This window comes from Homo sapiens, chromosome 11 (assembly GCF_000001405.40).
Source record: "Homo sapiens chromosome 11, GRCh38.p14 Primary Assembly".
NCBI lineage: Eukaryota > Metazoa > Chordata > Mammalia > Primates > Hominidae > Homo > Homo sapiens.
This window is the reverse complement of record NC_000011.10, coordinates 22,709,080-22,734,533: the sequence shown is the minus strand read 5'-3', so window position 1 is coordinate 22,734,533 and position 25,454 is coordinate 22,709,080. Positions and strand designations below refer to the sequence as shown.

Here is a 25,454-nt window from a genome sequence, read left to right as displayed (position 1 = left end):
GTGCATCATAATGTGTCAGTTACTAGACAGTGAGAGAAACTCTGGAATGAAGAGAAGATTACTGTTAGGAGATATAATTTAGATTGGTTCTATTATAATGAGTATATTTTAAATGTTTATCTTTTATATTATATCAGATATAGTTAATTCTAAATTTAATCAAACTTCAGGTTAAATGAGTCAATTTGGCCAACATGTAAAGATATAAAGTAGATATCCTTCAGCAATTACAAGTTGATGCTAAGTACAAAGTTCAAGTAACAATTGCATTAGGACATATGTCAGTTTTTGAAACACCAAATACCTTGCCTTTAATTTTCTTTTGTGATTAAAATAATTTAGTAGAGTTCACTTTTAATAATTATTTATGTAATCATGTATTGTCTATTTTAGAAGATAAAATAACTGAATGTATACCTTTGTCAAGATAATTAGACAGGCAACTATCATTGTACTGTGTTTGTACTAAAGCCCTAGCATGCAGTCATATGTACTACTCATTTTAAGCACATGTCATCATTTATCTTTTTCAAAAGAACATCTAGTTACATTAAAACTTACAGTAGGAGACATTTTCCCCACTTGATCATTGTAACATTAACAAGGTCTTTTGCTTTGAGTTGGGGTAGAAGAGAGGATTGCTGTAGCTTTCTTCTGAACAAATTCTCTTCAAAACAAATAAAGAGCTCTCTAGTCAATGGTGATTATTACACAAATGGTTTTATCATTGGCGGCTTCTTTTTAAATAATCAAAAGCATTTCAAGAAAAGCATAATGTAAAACACCTCTGGGAAAAGTAACACAGGTTTCCATTCAAAAATATGTGGCAAGAGACTCACTCTCATAACCTAGATTCTATTAAAAAAAATCTCATGGGCATCAAATGTCAAATGGAATGCTGTTAGCTCCAGGAATAGAAAATGAGGCTTTCCACTAAAGCAAGAGGGTAGAATTTCAATGTCACAGAATCTGCAAGGATAAAATGCATTAGACCATGAATGTATAGTTTAGTTAAATATATTAAGTTTTAACAGATGGGCAAAGAAATGAAAGCATGAAAAATTATGTTGTCCATTTGGTTTCTATATAACTAGAGGTTACAACATTAATGGTAATGTCGAAGAAAATAGCTTTTTAGCCTTTTATTTAGTAAGGGAACTTGAAAAAATATACTTTAGGATAAATGTTGTTCACTTATAAAAATATTATAAATTAATGGCTGCCTACTTTCCCAGAGTAGAGAATTGGTTCTAATATGCCAAGGAGAGTGGTATAGTAGAAGAAATAGTAAACTAGAAGTCAGAAGAATTGGATTCTACTTAAGGCTAATTTCTTCAACTCTAAAACAAGTGCCATGTCTTCTACTTGCACTCCTTTATGAGGTAACCATATGGTTAAGAACACATGGTACCCGGTAAACAATAAATGTTACTCTCTTGCACCAAAATGTGACCCAGAGACCAGCAGTATAGGCATGGCATGGGAGTTTATTAAAAATGCAAATTTGGGGACCTATCCAGCTCTAATAATCAGAAACTACATTTAAAAAAATTTTCCAGGTGATGTGTATATACACTAAAGTTTGATAAGTACTGTATTAATCAATGTTATAATAATAAATAGTAGTTATAATTCCTACATATGTTTTGCTGAAAATATTTAAGTGTGCTTTGATATATGTAACATGCTCCACAAATGTGAAGGATAGCAATGGTGGTGGTGATGATGATGATGATGATGATGATGATGATGATGATGATGATAAATGGAGGGGAAATAATGCGAATGTTGGATTAGCCCTTAATAAATATTATAGGCATTTCTCTCCTGCCGGAATCTATAAGATACATAAAAACTTTCATGCTTCCCAAGAAAGTGAAGACAGTCACAGACTACTCTCTGTGTCATGTCACTCTGAGTAAGACCCACACAAAAATCTGTGAGGTTAAATGTAGGTGATAAATAGGGATAGCAATTTAGGGGCTATAAAACTGATCTGAGGCTGCTGAGAAGAAGGAAAAAGCAAACAAAGAAGAATCTCACAAGCTCAATAATGATGTGTGTGAGTATCCACATTTCTCAGAATCACCAGTAAGAATGATTTAAAATAGAATATGGCATCCATATAAATCATTTGAACAAGGAGTGTCCATTCATAATCTCATCAGTAATGGAAGCCCTACAGAATTGAATGAATTTCATTGCCTTTGCCCCAGAGTTGAGAAATATCCTGGAAAAAAGAGCGCTCTTTTTTCCTCTAGCACCCAGCACCCAGGTTAAAATAATGGATTAAGCCACTATCACTCAGAATAGCAATCAGAGGTGAGTCTTTTCTAAGTTGGTATATATTTTTTCCTTTTGCTTGAAATAATTCTAATAACATCTAAAATGAACGCAGACAAAGTACATCTTTCTATAACAGATGGGGCATGATTTCTGAAGGTGAATGGAGCTGAATTCAAACTGTAGCTGGGCCATTTAAAAGTTGTGTAACATTGCGTAAGGGATTTAACTGCTCCCTCCTGCATCTTCCCTGACATAGGGGAGAGGGCCAGATTTGAAAAGGGTTTTCTGAGTTCCAGAGTAAAAGTGAATTGAAATACTAATGAAGTATGTACTTCATAAAACAAAAATGTGTTAAAAAATAAAAAGTCTAAAATAAAATGATCCTGGGAAAGAAATTAATATAAATAATCCAGGGCTGAATGAGTATCCTGAAATTATTATCATAAATTAATACTCATAAAAGTAATATAGCTTTTTTCCCACAAAAATACTCTTATAGTCTTCAATATAGACAAAAACAAGAATAAGGAATGATTTATCAAACACTTAAAGGCAGGCATAGATTCTTTTTCTGATGCAACACGTGACTTTAAGAAATGAAATGGAAAATGCTAATATTTAAAAATCCACACACAAACCTTTTTACTTCAGGTAGACAATGTTTGCCCCTGAAGCAAAATGCTCACCAATGTTCAACAAAACAAAAAAAAATTTGTAGAATTCCTCATCAGGATGATGCATCAAAAGAAGACAGTACCACACAGCAAACACAAACACAGAAAATAAATTTTTTTAAAAGTTATACTCAAACAAATCACACACATTTGCATGCTACACCGCAGATAGCAAACCCTTTTCTTGTTGAGTAGATTCTTTCTCAGAGAAATAGATGAAGCATAGTCACTGGCCTCCAAATCCTATAATTATCCAATAACATAATGATATTGACACAATTATAGCAAGCAAAAAAAGTGTGTATTTTTAAAATACTTCCCCATCCCTTTTTTCGCCATCTCCCAGCTCACCAGAATGTGTATAAATAAAACAAAATAAACAAATTTCTAGGAAAAAAAGTTAACTTGACAATTTCTAAATTGATAGGCCAATGCAAATTACAAATAATAAACTGTACAGCAAGACTAGCAGTAATTTAAGAAAATGGTTAGTTACTTAAAATATCTTAGTAAAAAATGACATAAAAGCATCAATTTCATGATTCATAATTGAAAACTCTTTTTAAGCTTGAAAACAAAGTATAGATTTCTGATCTTAATTTAAATTGTAAAACTTAGCCCCATAAAAACACTCAACATCATTTTAGAAAACGTGGTTAAATTATTTATTTAAATGAACATTTGAAAAATTACTAAATTTACTGTTAGGAAGATTATTGATTAATACAGTCCAATAACTTTTACATTTCGGTGAAACTGAAAATATAAATACTTTCACACCTAGAGCCTTCTATAGCTATATATATTTTTAACTCTACAACTAAAAGTTAATTTCTTATAAAATAATTATTGGGGTCTATTTTGTTTATAGACTGATCAACTACATACTTTTGAATTCAAGAAAATACTTAAGTTCATCTTTTTAACTTAAAGCACAATCCTAAATATTTTAAAGGAATCTAATGAAAATGTTATTGATCTTAATATATCAGAGTAATGAAAAGAAATGTTTCTCTTGTCACTTATACGTCAACATGGTTTGAACAGCAGGGGTCAGAGTGAGTATTATATGTAGACCTTTATGGTTACAACATGCTCTGCAGACCACACAAAAACCTTTGTTATGATACAACATAGAATTCTGTAATCACTTAAAGTATCAGTTTAACTTCAACAATGTGAAAAATCCTTTTAATATACTGATGTATAAAATTTTATGTCAATAAATATCTAGGCTAATTGGTCCAATTGCATCATAATATAAATCAATTGTTCATGTTTCAGATTACATGCCATAATTCTTCACTATCTTAAGTTTGTTAATAGATAATTGAAGAAAATGATATAATTTACAACCTAATTACTATCTATTTTTCCTTCAAATTCTGAATGTGAAATTTTATTGTTAAATATAGATACAAACGGGTGACCTCATGTTAATCATATATCATATTTTCCCATATCCTTAAATAGTTTCAAGAATATTGTCTTTGGATGGCATCTATGGATGACTACAATTTGTTTAAGCTGCTACCAAATATCATAGGTTCCAGCTATTTTTTTAATGTTTCAGTAGACATTCTGGTTCCTATCTCTACTAATTGCCTTTTAATACATTTTTGGAAGCAGAACAACTTAATCAAAGTGTATAAATACTTCTGAGGTCTTTGATATAAAATTGCCTTCCAAAGAAAGCATGCCAATTTCCAATTTTCTTCAGCAATGTATGGAAGATTCTGATACAATATATACTTACCAATACTAACTATATAATTTTCTTAATTTAGCTATTTTTTCATAGCTAAAATCTACCTTTAGTAATAAGGTAGATTTTATTCACATCTAGTAATAAGGTAGATGTGAATAAAATCTACCTTATTACTAAGGGGTCCAACATTTTAACATCTTAATTGGATTTTTATAAGTCTTTTGCAAATAGGTTCTTCATCTCCACTTTTCTATGGTTTTATTTCTGAAAGATTTCAGGATGTAGCGAACACATGATCTAAGAACTGACATTTTACAGAGGAAAAATTATCTCTAAAGAATGTCATAGAGTATAAATAATAGGTTAAACCCTGTATATGGCATAGGAAGTTATCTGCCAAGCATAAAAAAGACAAGAAGCATGACATAAACATATGGAATTAGTTGCTCTCCCTTCTCCCCAGTTCATCGCTTGCACACCTTCCCTCACCCACTGAGGTTTCTTGCCATTAGCTGTTGTGAAAAGAGAACAGTGAGTTGTGAATCAAGATCCTCTGACAAATAATTGTACAAAAAAGCACTGCAACAGAGGGTAGCATATCAGTTGCCACAAGGATAAGGATGCTTTATGCAGGCAAAGACCTTTGAACAGCTAAACACAGAAGCCTCTTCATACACACTCAGTACAGTGATCTACTTTATCATTCAAACACATTTTTCCCGTTCATCAGAGCATCTTTTCATTTTATTTGCTGTTCAAAACACTAGGACACAAAGGATGTGCTTCATCTTCTGTGCCACTGAAATGAAATCTTGAGGTTAAAAAAAAAAAGCCTTGCCCCAAATTTCCTTTCAAAAGTGAAGTGTGAAAAGACATCAAGCAGAGGACACAGTGTTATTGTTGCAAGAAAGTCAATTCTGCAAGTAGAGTCCAAAGCCATCAGCAGCGGCTCAATCTCTTCCTCACCCACAATGAATAATTAAAAAAAAAAAAAAGGAGAAACGGTTCCACTTGTGGAAATGGAACTTCTTATTGTCCTTCCTCCTGATTATCATGAACATTTATGAGCACAGCTGTTTCCTTTCTCTGACTAATCCTAAAGTCAATGCCATAATATTGACCCCCTTCTATTACATCCCTAGAGCCTATTACATATCACTTTGGGTTCTATTCTGAGCAGGAGAAATTGCAAATTTATCTTTTCATTAAGCAGCAACTGGAAAACCTAACTAATTAATTTAACTTGGTACTGAGAAGTTTACAAAAGATTTTTAAATTTTTATAGACTTAAAAATTTGTACAAAAATATTTTTACAATTATATATATAATATATATAACTTATGGGCTTTTTATAATGTCAGAATATATTTTTTCAAACAGGCTGAAGAAGTAGGCCATCTAAAAGTTCTTCCTGACATAATTTTATTTGTTATAGAGTATGCATTTATATACCAGGGTCATTATATAAGTTGCTTTAAACTTTGTAATTTTAGGGTAAAATGTAGTATTATTTGGATGGGGCTTTTAAAAGCCATCAAAGTAAATACACATTAGAACCTTCACCTATAGTGCTATTTCTAGCAGAGAGGATTTAATATTAGATGGACTCTTCTTGGTGTCCACAGGAAAATTTCATTAGTTCAAACAACAAAAGAAGTCATGGACAATGAGAAAATGAGACAAGACAATATTTACATTCATAGCTTTTATTAACCAATTTATCCTATAGTAATCACTGAGAAAATGCTTCTTTAATGAAAAATTGTACAATGAACAAACTAGCAAATTAACGATAGTTTCCCCATGTGATTGTTCTTTGGCAATTCAGAGGCACTGTAGAATTTTAAATCGTGATGTTAATCGTCCACACATGCAGAGTGTACTCCTTGTTACTAAGACTTGATTTTATGGCTATATATTTTTACACGATCTTAACATTTACCAGATCTTGTAAGCAATTTTATTTAATTGTTTGTGCAAATAATTCTTTTACACCCCCTTCCTATAATCCTCCACTCGCATGGTTTCCTACAAACCTGAAAGTTAAAATTGATCTGTAAATTAACCACAGGACTGAAAAACAGGTATTATCTATGTACGCACACATCTTCCACCAAATTTTTTTACTTTGATATGAGGAAATGGTAATAATAATCAAAAGCTGATTTATTTACTGAGCATTTCATGAGCACACTATTGTGTAAAGCAGACTACTGTGAGATCATTCTGTTTCCTTTTTTTTATTCAGGTCTAGCATATTCCCCCAGGCTAAATTTATGCTGTTCCCATCTTTGCTAAGAGAATTTTCAAAAATTTGATGGTATTTCTTTGCCATATCACGCCAACTCCTCTGAGAACAAATACAGATTTCCTTAAGCACATAAAATTAGTAAGATTTCAGCTGTTTCCATAAATTTCCTAGGTTACGCATGGGAATGGGGCCTAGGGGCAATAGGCATTTTGGCTGTTTGGAAGGTAATTTGTATACTTGTTCTCTCTGAAGGATGCTCACCTTACTTTGATATTAATATTTGTTATTATATGACCTATTAAATTGATTTTTAAGGCTTCAGGCAAAAAGAAAGCGAAGTTTTTTTCTCTAGATGTCTCCTTTCTCAATTTGGTTGCATTTTGCAAAAATGAGCCTTTAGTTCTAATATTTTACATATTTGAGTTGTACTGTGGTGGAGCCTACATGGAAAGTTTGAACATGTTATCCTAGTGTATGGAGTGGTATTGAAACACTGAATGCTCCAATGTATGTTTTCTTCCAAAGAAATAAGCTCATTCTATGATTTGGAAGTGACTTTGCCTAAATTCAATCAGAAACAACTACAGAAATCTACGCAGTTATCTCAGTAGGTGTAGGCACTAAGGTATCTGTCTTTTAATTCAACATCTTTGATGATATTAATCTCTTGTTATCTTGCCTGATTTTTAACTCACTAAAAAATAAATAAATGAATGAGTAATCTGTACGTTCAATAAAGGTAGAGCTTATGGTCAATAGTGTTTCCATACTGTTGTAGAGGTGAAAAGACAAGAGTGCTCTCTATGGCTAGAACATGCACAGCTACCCTTTAATCCAGATCAAAGCCTGGGGGTAAAATTTGGTCCTCTGTTTTCCAAATATCCACAATTTTGCACCAATTTTGCCCTAATGGCCCTTATATTTAGCTTGGAAAGAATTCTGCTACTTCTGTTTCTATTCTTGTATCCATGAGGTAACCAATAGTAAGAGGGCATATTCATTTTTCTATTTTCAAAGTATCAAGTTAGCAGCAAACCTGCAAGATTTCAACAAACTCAGACTTTTTAAGCTAATAATCTGCAAAATGACATCATACAAAAAACTTTTTGATGGCTATACTGACAAAGACAAAAGATAATTTGCGTATCTTATCAACTAAAATTCTGAAGTTAATACATACCCAAACCTTCCGATTCAAATAGACACGTTTCATCCACCCCTAAATCTCGGCACCAGGATAAGAAATTTGCTGTATTGTCTCTGGCAAAAAAGGAGCCCGAGGGTGCACTGGTTTTGCATGGGATCTTCTTCAACGGTAGATTCTGAAAAATAAAGAAATTCGTTCTAGGAGAAATCTGTCAAAGTTAGCACAATGATGTTTTAAAAACATGTTTTCAACAAAATGCTTCGGAATTACCTCATGCCAATAAGTAGGTTTGCAAAGAACCCTAGAAAGGAAATATAATGCTATGCAATTAACCTGGCAGTAAGGGACTGAAAATCTGTTCCTGCAAGCACATATCCTTTTCTTTTTAGTACCTAGGGGTTAAGATAGTTAAGTACTTTTCTTGGCTCAGGCTGCTGCTTCTCTTTCTCTTCTATAATTTTTATGGCCTTCCCTTTCATCTAAGCATTCTATCAGTATTTTTCACAAAGTACTTATAAATGTATTTCTCATTGGTGAAAGAGGAATGGGAGAAATACAAATATATGAATATGATATACATATAACATATATACACCTGCATTCTTAGAGGTATAAACACATACTGTAAAAATTACACAAGAATTATAAAGTCAAAAGAGAGCAGCAGAATTATTTAACATCACAAGTCTCAGTCATCAATACCAAGAAAGGGAAATGTTAAAAAATAATGTCATGATAACATTTGCTGTGTGTGGTGGCTCATGCCTGTAATCCCAGCACTCTGGGAGGCCGAGGCAGGAGGATTGGAGTCCAGGAGTTCGTGACTAACCTGGGCAACATAATGGTATCCTATCTCTACAAATAAAAGTAAAAATTAGCCAGGTATTGTGTACATCTATGGTCCCAGCTACTTGGGGAGCTGAGGCAAGAGGATTGCCTGAGCCCAGGAAGTTGAGGCTGCAGTGAACCTTGATCATGCCACCGCACTTCAACTCAGGTGACAGAGTGAGATATTCTATCAAAAATATAACATTCTACAGACTTTTTTCCAGACTATTTTCTTTTAAACCACAGGATATAGCGATAGCATATAATACAAACATAATTCTGGTCTGAACTCTGCTATCTGACCTTGAAATGCATGGTTTACATTCTGCATCATTTCTATTCTGGGATAAGAATGTGCTTAAGATAAGGGTGGGGGTGAACCTGGATAGACTTTTCTGTTAACCATCTCGTAAAATTTTAAGCAGGAAATCTCCCTTGGAACCATACCAAGTGTTATCTTTTTTCTTTAATAGAAATAAATTATTTCCATGACATTCCATGAAGCTAAAGAATGTAATTCTTTGTGATGTGAAAGAATGAGCATGACTTCGGGTGAACTGGGCTACATAGGACTTTGCCTCAACAAGCAAAAAAATCAAGGGAGAAGCACTTTGTGATTTAAATTTATAAAATCTTTCTTATATTCACAGTGAACCCTTAAATACAACCAAAATATTGTTGATTGTTGAACTCATTTACAAGGATGGTTATAAAAAAAAAATAGTGGCTTAGGTGGATTGGTGAAGTCCTGCCAACATGCAACTCTTACTAGAGTTCTTACTAGAGTTCCAGGGATTTTGTGGTTATACATAATAACTTAAAACATTCAGTTACCACATCACTTAAAATGGGTGTCTGTCTAATCTCAAAGATCCATCTCTTTGTTGCAACTCGAATTTGATTTAGGATAGATATAATCAAAGTTTCTGCATAAATGCACAGATATATACTTCAGGCACTATAGCTATATAAACCATATATAGGGTTACTCTATACAGAAATATTTCCTTAAATGATTTTGTCCAGATATCAAGTAATGGTTTTCAAAAGAATGCTTTCCTAGATGACTTACAAAAACAATCAGAAATAGTGTAGTATAATGTTTCCCTTGTAAAGTATTATAAACATTAATTAGTATGTATTAAAATTAAAATATAAATTCCTTAAATCTAGCAATTCACTTCTAAGAATATATTCTACACATAAAATAGCATTCATGATTAAAATATATGTACAAGTATATTTGTTGCAACACTGATTGAATAGCAAAAAACAAAAATACATCAAGAGAGCTGGTAGAATGACATATAATACATAAATACAATGAAACTCTATACAATCATAAAAAATACAACACATGTACATGTATTGAACCAGAAATATGTTCAGAATATACTCTTAAGCAGAAACAAATTTGCAAACAGATATTTTTCCTATGATGGATCATTTTATGATGTATGTACATGTGTACACATTAGTGTGTGTATACACATGCAACACAGATGGCCATAAAGTTAAATTGCAGGTAAATATGTTGTGATACATATATAAATATTTACATGATTATAGTATGTAAATTTAGAAATAATTCAAGAAGGACATGCATAAATTGATAGTAATTGCCCTTGAGGAAGGGAATTGATTGATGTATCAAGGAACATTTACTTATTTTATATAATTCCAAAACAAGTAATAGGATTTTTAGTGACTTTTATATTTTATCAATACTACCAAATTTAAAAAAAAATCAAAGTAGTAGGCAAGTTATGTCAGCCAAAACATATTATAAAAATAATATGCTGAATAAAATCTCCAAGAGATGATGGTAAAACTTTTTTATGACATGAATAAGGTAAAAGCTATGTTTAGGAAAAGAACAAAATTAAATCCAAACAATGAGCCACTTTAAGATCTACCACCTATATCCCTGGCGGGCAGAAAAAACTACCACTTCAAATCAATATACGAGTTTGCATGTAAAAACTATAATCTAGGAACTATAAAATAATTCACATAGCTACAGCCTTGCTAAATGACATGAGGTACATGATCTATGTGGCAAAAAGGAACAAAATATCCATTTTGCACTGAAGAAGCAAGAGATTGATTTGACACTTAATCCACTAAGGGATACATTTTGAAAGAATATGCACAAGTGACAAGCCCTCAAATATCATTCAGCCCACTCTTGAAGAAATTACAAGGACAACCACTGAGCGTATAAATGAAAATAGCATTTATTTTCCCTTTACAAAGTCACGTACCTATCATATGCCAGCATCTCAGAATTTACTTAAAATTCAGTGCAATCATATTGGAAGACAGGTAAGTCATTTTAAGACAAATAAAATGAAAGCTGGCTATTGATACTCCAAAACTTGAGAATCCCCAGTGTAGAAGAATTTAGCAGTAACACTGATCTAACTACTTGGCATTTAGGTAATTTATGGGCTATTTGCTTCCGTTAAATTGAGTGTTCCCATGCCAGCTGAAGACTGGGAAATAGTAAACAGTGTGAATAGAAGCTTCCAATTTTCATCCAGATAAAATATTTTATTTGAGGATTTTTTTAAGTCACACTCATTAGTCCTATCAAGTCTATCACACGTAACTAGAAATAAGGATCTCTGCTTATCAAGAATTTAAAAGAGAACCTTCAATAGCTCACCTGATATGTTTATGGAAATGATATGTTAATGGAAACTAATATGGATTAGTTTTCCATTAACTAACTGCTTAATTCTCCAAAGAATTACAGCATTTAAATTGTATATTATCTTTGTTTACTCATGAAAGCTTTTTTAGACAATATTATGTCCTCAAAAACTAATAGATGAATGAATGAATGAATTGTTAGACTGCCTCCTCAAACTAGATCATAATCGGCTTGAGAACAGGACCAAATACTCTGTATTAGAATTTTTACATCCCCAAGGGACATGTTCCCAGGGCCTTCAAAATTCACTAAGTTAATGGCATAACTATGCATAAAATGCCTTCAATAAATTCAGGAAAGCATAACTGAAAAATTTAATACCTTCAAACCTTTTCTGAAACTTACTGAATATGAATAATGAATAGAAAACAGTCAAGCTGAACCTAAATTGGATAGAAATTTAGGCTCACTCACTCACTAGCAAGAGTCATGCTATATTGTACAACAGTGTCCATAGTGTAGGATTCAATATTTTGTGTTAGCAAAATGAGAAGTTACTACCAATAAGCTATTGGGATTGTGTGCAAGCAGTCAACAGGATAAATAGTAAAATTTATAATATCAAGACTACTGATTTTATCTCTCAGCAAGATTAATCCAACATACATACTTATAGCTTCTAAAATACTTATACATTGGTTGATTGACCCTATAAGAGAACAGTTATGCATTCCAAAAGTGCCCTTCCAATTCCCATCAGGAAACAACCAAGATTGGTGGCAATAAACAGAAAAAAATTAAATTTTCCTCTAAAGGCTGTTATTACTAATTCAACCCACTGCCTTTCAGATTAGTTTCTAGGTAGGGCTCTGGAGTCCAATTACTTGAGTTCAAATTCAGCTATATTTCCCTTCATGCTATGATTAGGAAATGTACTTAAAATCTGTATTTCAGTGTCCTCTGCTATACGATGTTCATAAAACAAGATGTACACCCCATTGACTATGTGTATGGGGGTGCAAATTAATTAAAGTGTATTAGTAAGCATTCAAAAAAGGTCATAAATGCAAGTAAAAAATACTGAATATCTATGATTTCCTTCTCTCATATTTTCTTGCCAACATTGCATTATTTCCGTTATGGGTACAAGAATTCAGAAATAGACTGCCAAATAATTTACTTCTTCCTATCTTTACCCTAAATTTGAACCTTAGCTTCTGAATAGTTTTCTAATATAACTTTCTACATTGATAAAAATGTCCTATATCTGTGCTAACCAATATGGTAGCTAGCCATTAGCCACATGTGGCTATTGAATAGTTGAACTTTTAAGCATTTATTTCATTTATCAACTTAAATTTAAATAGCCACATGTGGATAGTGGCTATCATATTAGATAGTACATTCATAGTGGGAGAAGTGAATTTATAATTTGGAGTTTTATAAAGTGTGGTGTTTGACTACATGACTAGCTTCCCTCCTAAATCATCTCCATGTCTCTCAACTCCCATCAAATCCAGTAGTTACCCTGGGTGTAGTTACTAAGACATACAAACATGAAAGTCATTTTCAAAAATTGTACATATATGCTGCAGTATGTCCTAGTTATGGTGTCATGAAGCGCATTCATAACTAATTCTATTTATAGTGTTGTAATAATCTGCATCTGGAGAACCGGATCTTATTTAGCATTATACTGCCACAGTGCCAAATATGGTGCTTTACACGCAGGAGGTACTGACTTACTGTTTTCTGAAAGTTATGGTGAGGTTGGGGAGGAGGGTACTCATGTTGTAAGTGCCTTCAGTGCTCTAGGTACACAACGTTCACTTTCATATGGATTGTCCCATTTAATTCTCAAAAAAACAGCACCAAATGAATTGGGTAGGTAAAAGAAGACTCATTTTCCAGAGAAGAAACTGAGCTTATGCACAGTTCAAACCAAATCATTTGGTCTCTTGTGCTCCTACACTTTCAACTGTTCCATGATAGCCCACCAATGCCTTGAAGGTAATATATTTCACATTTGATTTATTTCCCAAATGTTTGTCCAGGCAGCATTAAAACAAATAATCAAATATTCTCTTTCACCTACTCAAGTGAAGAGAAAAAAAGAGACTGAGAGAATGGTATCTTTAGTTCCCTTGCATTGTGCGAACTGAAAATTTAATACTGGTAGTTTAAATAATTCATTCTTCACAAAAGTTTGAGTCATACTACTCCCCTTGATTACATCAAGTAGACATTTGAGATATAAAACAGAAGAGATACATAAATGAAGACATGAGGCTTGCCAAGAACTAATATTTTTTCTTTTCCAAAGGGTATATAGAGTGTACGGTTCAAATAGGCAGGCAATAAACTCACTCTTTCCATGATGGAATTAATGTTTCCGCCTGTATCCCCTTGCTACTTTTAGTTTCACTGTATATTTAATAGAAAAAATAATCTCTTTCAATAAAATTATTTCCTTGAACATTCATAGTATCAAGGTATCTAACTATAACAACCAAGTGGCTTGAAAAATGATGAAAATATAGTCTTTAAGATAAAAATTATAGAAATGTTTAAAAAGGGAAAAAAAACTTTGTGGTATCTTAACCCTCTCCTGGGGACTCTGCAGTAAGACCCTGTGCCTCAAGCAGTGAGCTATGATTTAGGACAGTTGAACACACTAAGCTTGAATCCAAAATTGACCCTTTCTGCTTTCTCCCTCTCCAAGATAAATTCCACTTTATATAGAACAGATCTTAGATCAAAATTTTAGTGCAATATTCATGCTGTAATGCCATAGGAATATTCACATACACAAAAAGGAAATATAAAACAAGTTTCTCAGAGCAGAGTTTTAGTACACCTTTCTTCCTCTAAAATCATGAAATTAATCACTTAACTAACAAAGTTGGCAAATAAGTACAGCACTTTGAATTATCTGAAATCATCTCTGGAGTAATATAAACTAATGTTTGAAATGAAGGTCAAACCTAGTCCTCAAACCTCAGGCTTACAAGATGGACAATAAAAGTTACTATGTAAATAAGTTGAAAACATATCTACTAAAAACCTGCCCATGGATGCTTATAGCAGTTCTGTTCGTTGGAAACAACCAAGATGTCCTTTAGTAGATGAATAATAAAGAAACGATTGTAAAGTCAGACAATGGATTATTCGGTGCTAAAAATAAAGAGCTATCAAGTCATGAAAACACAAGGTGGAAGTTTAAATGCATATTACTAAGTGAAAGAAGCCAATCTAAAAAAATACTACAGGCTGTATGATTCCAACTACATGACAATCTGGAAAAGGCAAACCATGAAGACAGTAAAAAGATCAGGGTTTAGCAGGGAGGGATGGATGAAAAGGTAGAGCACACAGAATTGTTAGGTCAGTGAAACTATTCTGTATGTAATTATATTGGTGGATACACGTCATCTGTAAAAACCCAGACTGTTTAACACTAAGAGTGAACCCTAAAAACTATGGACTTTGGGTGACAATGTGTTAATGTAGGTTCAATGACTGTTAACAAATATACCACTCTGGTGTACTTTCCACTCAATTTTGCTGTGAACTGAAAGCTTCTCTAATAGGTGAAATCTAAAAATGTTGAACTCATAAAGTCAGGGACTAGAACGGTGATTGCCAGGGGTAGGAGAAAGGGGTTGAGGGCTTGGGAGATGTTAGTCAAGGGTACAGTTTCAGTTAGCCAGCATGAGTAAGTGCTGGAGATCTATTGTACAACCTGGTGACTATTATTAATAACAATGTATCACATAATAATTGCTAAGAGAGAAGATTTTAAACGTTCTCGTCAGAAAAAAATAAGTGGAGTGATGAATATTTTAATTACCTTGATTTAATCATTTCATAACGTATGCATATATGAAAACATCACAAATACACCATAAATATATGTAATTTTTGTTACATGTTAATTATACCTTAACAAAGCTTTAAAAAAATGTCTACAAAAAGATTACTATGTCATTGATAGTTTGAGAAGTATCAAATGCTTCGCAAAGGGGAAAGTATAGGAAGTTTGACAACAAATGCATTCCTTCCATTTTTATATACTGTGTGCCTAATTTATATATACATCCACATGGGAATCATCATCAACTACGAACAGCTTCTTTTCTCCCAACTAATCGTTTGCATATGAACAGACTGAGATTAATTTCTTAAAACCTCCAAAAATCTAGTTCTACACTTTAAAATTAAGTCAATTGGTGAGCCTATCTAAAAAATTTAAATAGAAATCTCAGTGTTCATAATGAGGAGTAATAGAAAGATTTTAATATTTATTATTATTATTATTATTTCAATAGTTTTGGGGAAACAGGTGGTGTTCCATTACATGGCTAAGTTCTTTAGGTATAATTTCTGAGATTTCGGTGCACCCATCACTTGAGCAGTGTACAATGTACCCATTGTGCTGTCTTTTATCCCTCAACCCCCTCCCACCCTTCCCCCAAAGTCCCCATAGTCCATTATATTATTCTTATGCCTTTTCATCTTCATAGCTTAGCTCCCACTTATAACTGAGAACACACAATGTTTGGTTGTCCATTCCTGAGTTACTTCACTTAGAATAATGGTCTCGAACTCTATTCAGGTTGCTGTGAATGCCATTATTTCATTCCATTTTATGACTGAGTAGTATTCCATGATACATATATACACACAAACATACACATACACACACACACCATATATATATATATGACACATTTTCTTTATCTACTTATTAGTTGATGGATATTTAGGCTGGTTCCATATTTTCGCAATTGCAAATTGTGCTGCTATAAACATGCGTGTGTAAGTGTCTTTCATATAATGACTTATTTTCTTCTGGGTAGATACTCAGTAGTGGGATTGCTGGATCAAATAGTATTTGCACTTTTAGTTCTTTAAGGAATCTCCATACTGTTTTCCATGGTGGTTGTATTAGTTTAATTTCCCACCAGCAGTAAAAAAAAGTGTTCCTTTTTTTACCATAGCCATGCCAACATCTATTATTTTTTGATTTTTAAATTAAGGCCATTCTTGCAGAAGGTGGTATCACATTGTGGTTTTGATTTGCATTTCCCTGATAATTAGTGATGTTGAGCATTTTTCAGATGTTTGTTGGCCATTTGTATATTTTCTTTTGAGAATTGTCTATTCATGTCCTTTGCCCACTGTTTGATGGGATATTCTTTTTTTTTCTTGCTGATTTGTTTGAGTTCCTTGTAGATTCTGGATATTAGTCCTTTGTCAAATGCATAGTTTGTGAATATTTCTCTCATACTGTGGGTTGTCTGTTTACTCTGGTGATTGCTTATTTTGCTGTGAAGGAGCTTTTTAGTTAAGTCCCATCTATTTATCTTTGTTTTGTTGCATTTGCTCTTGGGTTCTTGGTCATCAACTCTTTGTCTAGGATAATGTCTAGAAGAGTTTTTCCTGATGTTTTCTTCCAGAATTTTTACAGTTTCAGGTCGTCTTAGAGTTGATTTTTATGTAAGGTGAGAGACAGAGATCCAGTTTCATTCTTCTACATGTGGTTTGCCAGTCTTCCCAGCACTATTTATGAAATAGGGTGTCCATTCTCCAATTTATGTTTTTGTATGCTTTGTTGAAGATCAGCTGGCTGTAAGTATTTGGCTTTATTTATGGGTTATATATTTTGTTCCATTGGTCTATGTGCCTATTTTTATATCATACCATACTGTTTTGGTAACTATATCCTTACAGAATATTTGAAATCGGGTAATGTGATGCCATCGGATTTGTTCTTTTTGCTTAGTCTTGCTTTGGCTATGTAGGCTCTTTTTTGGTCCCATATGAATTTTAGGATTTTTTTTTCCTAGTTATGTGAAGAATGATGATTGTATTTTGATGGGAATTACATTGAATTTGTAGATTGCTTTTGGAAGTATGGTCATCTTCACAATGTTAATTCTACCCATCCATGAGCATGGGATGTGTTTCCATTTGCTTGCATTGTCTATGATTTCTTTCCGTAGTGTTTTGCAGTTTTCCTTGTAGAAGTCTTTCACTTCTTTGGATAGGTATATTGCTAAGTATTTTATTATTTTTTGCAGCTACTGTAAAAGGGGTTGAGTTCTTGATTTGATTCTCAGCTTGGTCGTTGTTGGTATATGGCAGTGCTACTGATTTGTGTACCTTGATTTTGTATGCTAAAACTTTACTGAATTCATTAATCAGATCTAGGAGTTTTTTAAGGAGTCTTTAGGGTTTTCTAGGTATATCATCATATCATCAGTAAACAGCAACAGTTTGACTTCCTCTTTACTAATTTGAATGTCCTTTATTTCTTTTTTTCTTTTTTTTTTTTTTGAGACAGAGACTTACTGTGTGTGTTACCCAGGCTGGAGTGCAGTGGCGTGAGCTTGGCTCACTGCAACCTCCTCCTCCCAGGTTCAAGCTAGTCTCGTGCATCAGCCTCCCTTGTAGGTGCGATTATAGGTGTGTGTCATGGTGCCTGACTAAATTTTGAATTTTTAGTTGAGACAATGTTTCACCATGTTGGCCAGGCAGGTCTCAAACTCCTGGCCTCAAATGATCTGCCTGTCTCAGCCTTCCAAAGTGGTGGGATTATGGTCATGAGCCCCCGGCCTGAATACCCTTTCTTTCTTTCTCTTGTCTGATTGCTTTGGCTAGGACTTCCAGTACTATGTTGAATATAAGAGGTAAAAGTGGGCATCCTTGTCTTGTTCCAGTTCTCAGAGGAAATGTTTTAAATTTTTCCCTGATCAGTATGTTTGTCATAGATGGCTTTTATTAACTTAAGGTATGTCCCTTCTATGTCAATTTTGCTGACTGGTTTAATCATAAAGGGATGCTGGATTATTGCCAAATGCTTTTTCTGCATCTACTGAGATGATCGTATGTTTTTTGTTTTTACTTCTGTTTATGTGGTGTGTCACATTTATTGATTTCTTAAACCACCCCTGCATCCCTAGTATGAAACCCACTTGATCATGGCGGATTATGTTTTGGATATGCTGTCAAATTCAGTTAGCTAGTACTTTGTTAAGGATTTTTTCATCTATGGTCATCAGGGATATTGGTTTGTAGTTTTCTTTTTTTTTGTTATGTTCTTTCCTGGTTTTGGTATTAGGGTAATACTTGATTAATAGAATGATTTAGGGAAGATTAGCTCTTTATCTTTTGGAATAGTTTCAGCAGGATTGGTACCAATTCTTCTTTGAATGTCTGATAAAATTCAGCTACAAATCTTCCTGGTCCTGAACTTTTTTTGTTGGCATTTTTAAAAATTACTATTTCAATCTTGCTACTTGTTATTGGTCTCTTCAGAGTTTCTATTTCTTCCTGGTTTAATCTACAAGGGTTGTATATTTCCAGGAATTTATCCGTCTCCTGTAGGTTTTCTAGTTTGTGTGCATAAACTTGTTCATAGTAGCCTTAAATGGTCTTTCGTATTTCTGTGTTATCGAATGTAATATCTCTTGTTTTGTTTCTTTTCTTTTCTTTTCTTTTTTTTTTTTTTTTTTTTTTTGAGACAGAGTCTTGCTCTGTCACCCAGACTGGAGTGCAATGGCGTGATCTCAGCTCACTGCAACCTCCGCCTCCCGGGTTCAAGTGATTCTCCTGCCTCGGCCTTCTGAGTAGCTGGGACTACAGGCACGTGCCACCACACTTGGCTAATTTTTGTATTTTTTAGTAGAGACAGGGTTTCAAAATGTTGTTCATGGTGGTCTTGAACTCCTCACCTGGTGATCCGCCTGCCTTGGCCTCCCAAAGTGCTGGATTACAGGTGTAAGCCACCACACCTGTGGCACCTGGCCTGTTTCTAATTAAGCTTATTTGGAACGTATCTCTTCTTTTCTTGGTTAATCTCATTAACAGTCTATCAATTTTGTTTATCCTTTCAAAGAACAAGCTTTTTGTTTCATTTATATTTTGTATTTTTTGTCATTGTTTCAATTTCATTTAGTTCTGCTCTGATCTTTGTCATTTCTTTTGTTCTCCTGGGTTTGAGTTTGGTTTATTCTTGTTTCTCTAGTTCCTTGAGGTGTGAGCATAGATTGTCTATTTGTGTTCTTTCAGACTTTTTGATGTAGGCATTTAATGCTATGAACTTTCCTCTTAGCACTGCTTTTGCTGAATCCTAGAGGTTTTAATTGGTTGCATCATTATTATCATTCAGTTCAAAGAATTTAATTTTCATCTTGATTTCATTGTGGACCCAAGTATCATTCAGAAGCAGATTATTTAATTTCCATGTATTTGTATAGCTTTAAGGGTTCTATTTGGAGTTATTTTCCAATTTTATTCCACTGTGGGCTGAGAGAGTACTTGATATAATTTCAATTTTTCTTAAATTTATTGAGACTTGTTTTGTAGCCTATCTTAGAGAATGTTCCAGGTGTTGAAGAAAAGAATCTTTATTCTGCAGTTGTTGGATAGAATATTCTGTAAATATCTGTGAAGTCCATTTGTTCTAGGGTATAGTTTAAGTCCACTGTTTCTTTGTTGACTTTCTGTCTTGATGATCTATCTAGTGCTGTCAGTGGAGTATTGGGTTTCCTCACTATTACTATGCTGTCACCTATCTCATTTCCTATGTGTAGCGGTAATTGTTTTATAAATTTGGGAGCTCCCATGTTAGGTGCATATGTATTTAGAATTGTGATATTTTCCTGTTGGACTAATCCTTCTAACATTATATAATGTCCCTCTTTATCTTTTTTAACTGTTTTTCCTTTAAAGTCTGTTTTGTCTGATATAAGAATAGCTACCCCTGCTCACTTTTGGTTTCCATTTGCATGGAATATCTTTTTCTACTCTTTTACCTTAAGTTTAGGTGAGTACTTATTTGTTAGATGAGTCTCTTGAAGATGGCAGACACTTGGTTTTGGGATTTTGATCCATTCTGAGATTCTGTACCTTTTAAGTGTAGCCATTTACATTCAATGTTAGTATTCAGATGTGACATAGTAGTGTTCTATTCATCATGCTAGTTGTTACCTGAATACCCTGTTTTTTTTCTCATTGTGTTATTGTTTCTCATTGTTTTCTCATTGTGTTATTGGTCCTGAGAGATTTATGCTTCAAGGACATTCTATTTTTGTGTATTTCAAGGTTTTGTTTCAAGATTTAGGACTCCTTTTAGCATTTCTTATATGCTGGCTTGGTAGTGGTGAATAATTCTCTTAGCATTTATTTGTCTGAAAAAGACTTTATCTCTCATGTATGAAGCTTAGTTTGCTGTGTACAAGATTCTTTGCTGATAATTATTTTAAGGAGGCTATAGATAGGACCCCAATCCCTTCTGGTTTACAGGGTTTCTGCTGAGAAATCTCCTGTTAATCTGATAGGTTTTATTTTACAGGCTACCTGATGCTTTTGCCTCTCATCTCTTAAGATTCTTTCCTTCATCTTGACTTTAGATAACTTGATGACTATGTAAGTTCCTAGGTGATGATGTGTTCGTGATTAGTTTACCAGGTATTCTTTAGAGCTTCTTGTATTTGGATATCTAGATCTCTAGCAAGACCAGGGAAGTTTTCATTGATTCCCTCAAATAAATTTTCCAAACTTTTAGATTTCTCTTCATCCTTGGGAACACCAATTATTCTTATGTTTGGTCATTTAACATAATCCCAAATTTCTTGGATTCTTTGCTCATTTTTTAAATTATTTTTATTTGTCTTCATTATATAGGGTTAATTCAGAAGTCTTCTTTGAGCTCTGAATTTTTTCTTCTACTTGTTTGATTCTATTGTTGAAACTTTCCAGTGTATTTTGCATTTCTCTAAGTGTGACACTCATTTCCAGAAGTTGTGATTGTCCTTTATTATATCTATTTCCCTGGAGACTTTTTCATCTGTATCCTATATGTTTTTTGTATTTCTTTTTTCCTTTCTTTTCTTTTCTTTTTTTTTTTTTTTTGACACAGTCTCACCCTGCTGATCAGGCTGGCATGCAGTGGCACAATCTTGGCTCTGTCTCCGGGGTTCAAGCAATTCTTATGCCTCAGCCTCCCAAGTAGCTGGGACCACAGGTTTGAGCCACCATGCCTGGCTACTTTTTTGTATTTTTAGTAGATATGGGTTTTCATCATGTTGGCCAGTCTGGTCTTGAACTCCTGACTTCAAGTGATCCACCTGCCTTGGCCTCCTAAAGTGCTGGAATTACAGGCATGAGCCACTGCCCCCGGCCTTTAATTTATTTAAGTTAGTTTTCATCCTTCTCTGGTGCCACCTTGAGAAGCTTAATAATCAACTTTCTGAATTCTTTTTCTGGCATTTCAGAAATTTCTTGGTTTAGACCATTGCTGGACAGCTAGTATGATCTTTTGTGGGTGTCATAGAATGTTGTTTTGTCATATTACCAGAATTACTTTTCTAGTTTCTTCTCATTTAGGTAGAATGTTTCATTGGAAATATCTGGAACTCAAGCGCTGCTGTTCAGATTGTTTTGTCCCACAGGGTAATCCTTTGATGTGGTGCTCTCCCCTTTCTTCTAGGAATAGGGCTTCCTGAGAGCCAGACTCCTGTGACTGTTATTACCCTTCTGGATCTAGCCACCCAGTGGGGCAACTGGGCTCTAGGCTGGTGCTAAGGAATGTCTGCAAAGTGTCCTGTGATGCAGTCTATCTTCAGGTCTCCCAGCTGTGGATGCCGGAACCTGCTCTGGCGGAGATGGCAGGGGAGTAAAGTGGACTCTGTGGGAGTCCTTGGTTGTAGTTTTGTTTAGTGCACTGGTTTTCTTGAATGTTGGTTATGCTAGCAGTGAAGTTGTCATGTGGACAGATTCAGGACCTCTGGCTAGCCAGGGTGTGTCAGGTGGTAGAATTAGCTGTTGTTTTTTCCTTCTTCGAAGCAGGGTTGTTCTGTTATGAGTTGCTGTAATGACTTGAGTTGGTTGGCCTCCAGCCAGGAGGTGGTGCTTTAAAGAGAGTGAAAGGAGGATAGCAGTAGAAGAGGGATATAATTTTGCCCTACACTGGCCAGATGAGTGCTTAGGTTTCTCAGGTGATGGACAGGGTCACACAGCTCCCAAGAGATTATGTCTTTTGTCTTTGGTTACCAAGGTGGGCAAAGAAAAACCATCAGGTAGGGGCAGGGTTAGGTGGGTTTGAGCTGAGACTCTCCTTGGGCAGGGCTTGCTGCAGCCACTGTGGGGGTTTTTGGGGTGGCTTTCAGGCCAATGAAGTTATGTTCCCAGGGAGATTATGGCTGCCTCTGCTGCATTGTACAGGTCACCAGGGAAGTGGGGGAAAGCTGGCAGTGACAGGGCTCACCCAGATGCCACATAGCCAGCAAGGCCAATCTCACTCCCACCATGCTTCCAGAACTGCACTGAGTTTATATCCAGGCAGCTTGTGAGCATGGCTGAAATCTTGCCCCAGGCTATAAGCGTCCCAATTGAGAAAGCAAGCAGGGCTCTCAGGCCTGGGCCTGCCTACCCACACCATCTGTGGCTTCTGCACTTGTATCTGCACTACCTGTTTTCCCCGTCTCCCCCTGATTCTGCTCAGGAAAGTTTGTGCTCAGTCGAAATTATTACAAAGTTCACCTAGGAGCTTACCTCACCCTGTGCACCTCCCAAATTCCACCAGCTGCTTTCCTTTCCCCAAGGACCTCTGTGAGATAAGGCCAGAAATGGCTTCCCTGGACTTCACTTGAAGACTGGAAGTGCCTATGGGACTCTTCTGGCTGCTGCTTCTACTTGTATCTTTCATTTGGCTTCCTAAATCTGTTTTGGCTCTAAGTAAAGTTAAATCCTTCTCCCATGATCAGGATTTTTCAGTTCACAGTGGGGATATGTGTTTAGAGGGTGACTTTTCCCCCCTCACACTTTGGGAACTCATAGTTTTTTCAGCTGTCTAATGGCATTTGCAGAAGCAAGCTGCTTGTTTCAAAGGGTCTGTGAATTATTTCTGTTTTCCTGATTTGTTCCTGTGATGTTCTTGGAGCAAAAGTTCACAATGTGAGTCTCCAGACACTGTTCTGTCCATCTAAGTGGGAGCTGCTTGTTAGTCCTGTCTCTTATCTGCCACTTTTCCTACTTGAATTGTAGATTTTAACATTTTAAACTAAGAATTAACATAGACTTTGGGAAAAATAATTATGACATTGCTGTCAAGGATGGACTAAAGGAAAAAAAATTAATGATACTTCTGCAGAAGGAAAAACAGTGATTTCTTTTTCTCCTGACACTTCCATCTTGGAAACCCTTAAGTCACAGCTGAGTGATAAGACAGAAAAAGTGACATACAAAATGGAATATGCAAGACTTCTCAGAAAGAGGAAGGAGCTTGAGATAGCAGGTGTGACAACCCTCAGATTCTCCAAAAAATTAATAGAAATTATTATTAATTATAGATAATCAAATTGATGATAGTTATATTTTCGAGAATGTGCATCAGTTTTTCTGTCTCTTCCACAGTTGAGGAACTTCCTTAGGAGTAAGAAACATATATATATATATACACACAGACACACACAGACACACACACACACATATATCTACACACATATATATATATCTTGAATTTTTCATTTCCAACAAATATTCTGCATGTTCCATGACATCATAATTTATCATTGTTGGCAGCAAATTGTGAATTCAGAGTCTCTGGCTTTAATATTTTAGTCAAAACTATTTTGGGGTACTCATCTGTAAATTATGTATGAGATAAGTATTTTCAAAAGTTCAAAGATTTTTTAATAGATGGATTCCAAGAAAGGAATTTATTTTAGTGGCTCACAGATTACTAAACAATTTTAGGGGAAAAAAAGTTGTTTTTGTTTGTTTGTTTGTTTGTTTTTTCCTTTTTTAAATTATTATTATACTTTAAGTTTTAGGGTACATGTGCACAATGTGCATGTTAGTTACATATGTATACATGTGCCATGCTGGTGTGCTGCACCCATTAACTCATCATTTAGCATTAGGTATATCTCCTAATGCTATCCCTCCCCCCTCCCCCTACCCCACAACAGTCCCCAGAGTGCGATGTTCCCCTTCCTGTGTCTATGTGTTCTCATTGTTCAATTCCCACGTGTGAGTGAGAACATGCGGTGTTTGGTTTTTTTGTCCTTGCAATAGTTTACTGAGAATGATGATTTCCAATTTCATCCATGTCCCTACAAAGGACATGAACTCATCATTTTTTACCGCTGCATAGTATTCCATGGTGTATATGTGCCACATTTTCTTAATCCAGTCTATCGTTGTTGGACATTTGGATTGGTTCCAAGTCTTTGCTATTGTGAATAGTGCCACGATAAACATACGTGTGCATGTGTCTTTATAGCAGCATGATTTATAGTCCTTTGGGTATATACCCAGTAATGGGATGGCTGGGTCAAATGGTATTTCTAGTTCTAGATCCCTGAGGAATCGCCACACTGACTTCCACAATGGTTGAACTTTGCTGCTAACTTCACTGCACTAATAATGACCAAGAACAGTAATTTAATCTAATTAACCTTTCGAACTGAAGGCCTAACATTTGTAACATGTTTTGAGAATTAAATAAGATGTCCTAGAAAGCACCTAATACCAATCCTAGATAATAGCTTATCTTCAATTAATTTAATTTTTTTTCAAATACATGTCTACTTTCAATTACATTTACAAAGAATGCCCTGAGGAGAGTTGACTATTAGTTGTATCACCACATCTGTAATTACTGTAGTAAGCCAACATATACACAGGAAAAAATAAACATTTAAGACAAATGCTTTACCTTTCTATGGTGATTTAATTACAATGTCTTCTGTGGTTTTTTTTTTTCATTACCATGCTGTGCATTCACCTCTGAGTTCTACAGTCTAATCAAATTAGGGTTTTCAAATGGAAAATTTGATTGAGTTTTTCTCTGCTTAAAAATCTTCAATGACTTCCCAGTGCTTTTAGGATAAAG

At 34.5% G+C, this 25,454-nt stretch overlaps 1 protein-coding gene across 19 annotated transcripts in view; it reads right to left on the bottom strand.

Moving 5' to 3' along the window:
- The window catches only part of GAS2 (growth arrest specific 2), a 187,054-nt gene that overhangs the window by 78,522 nt on the left and 83,078 nt on the right, over positions 1–25,454 (bottom strand). For all 19 annotated transcript variants that reach the window (NR_147085.2, XM_047426745.1, XM_011519972.4 and 16 more), the window contains one exon: positions 8,101–8,242. Coding sequence is in view for 18 of the 19 variants with exons in the window: in XM_047426745.1 (XP_047282701.1) it covers positions 8,101–8,242 (142 nt within the window). In the remaining variant the exon portion in view is untranslated. The remainder of the gene's footprint in view (positions 1–8,100; positions 8,243–25,454) is intronic.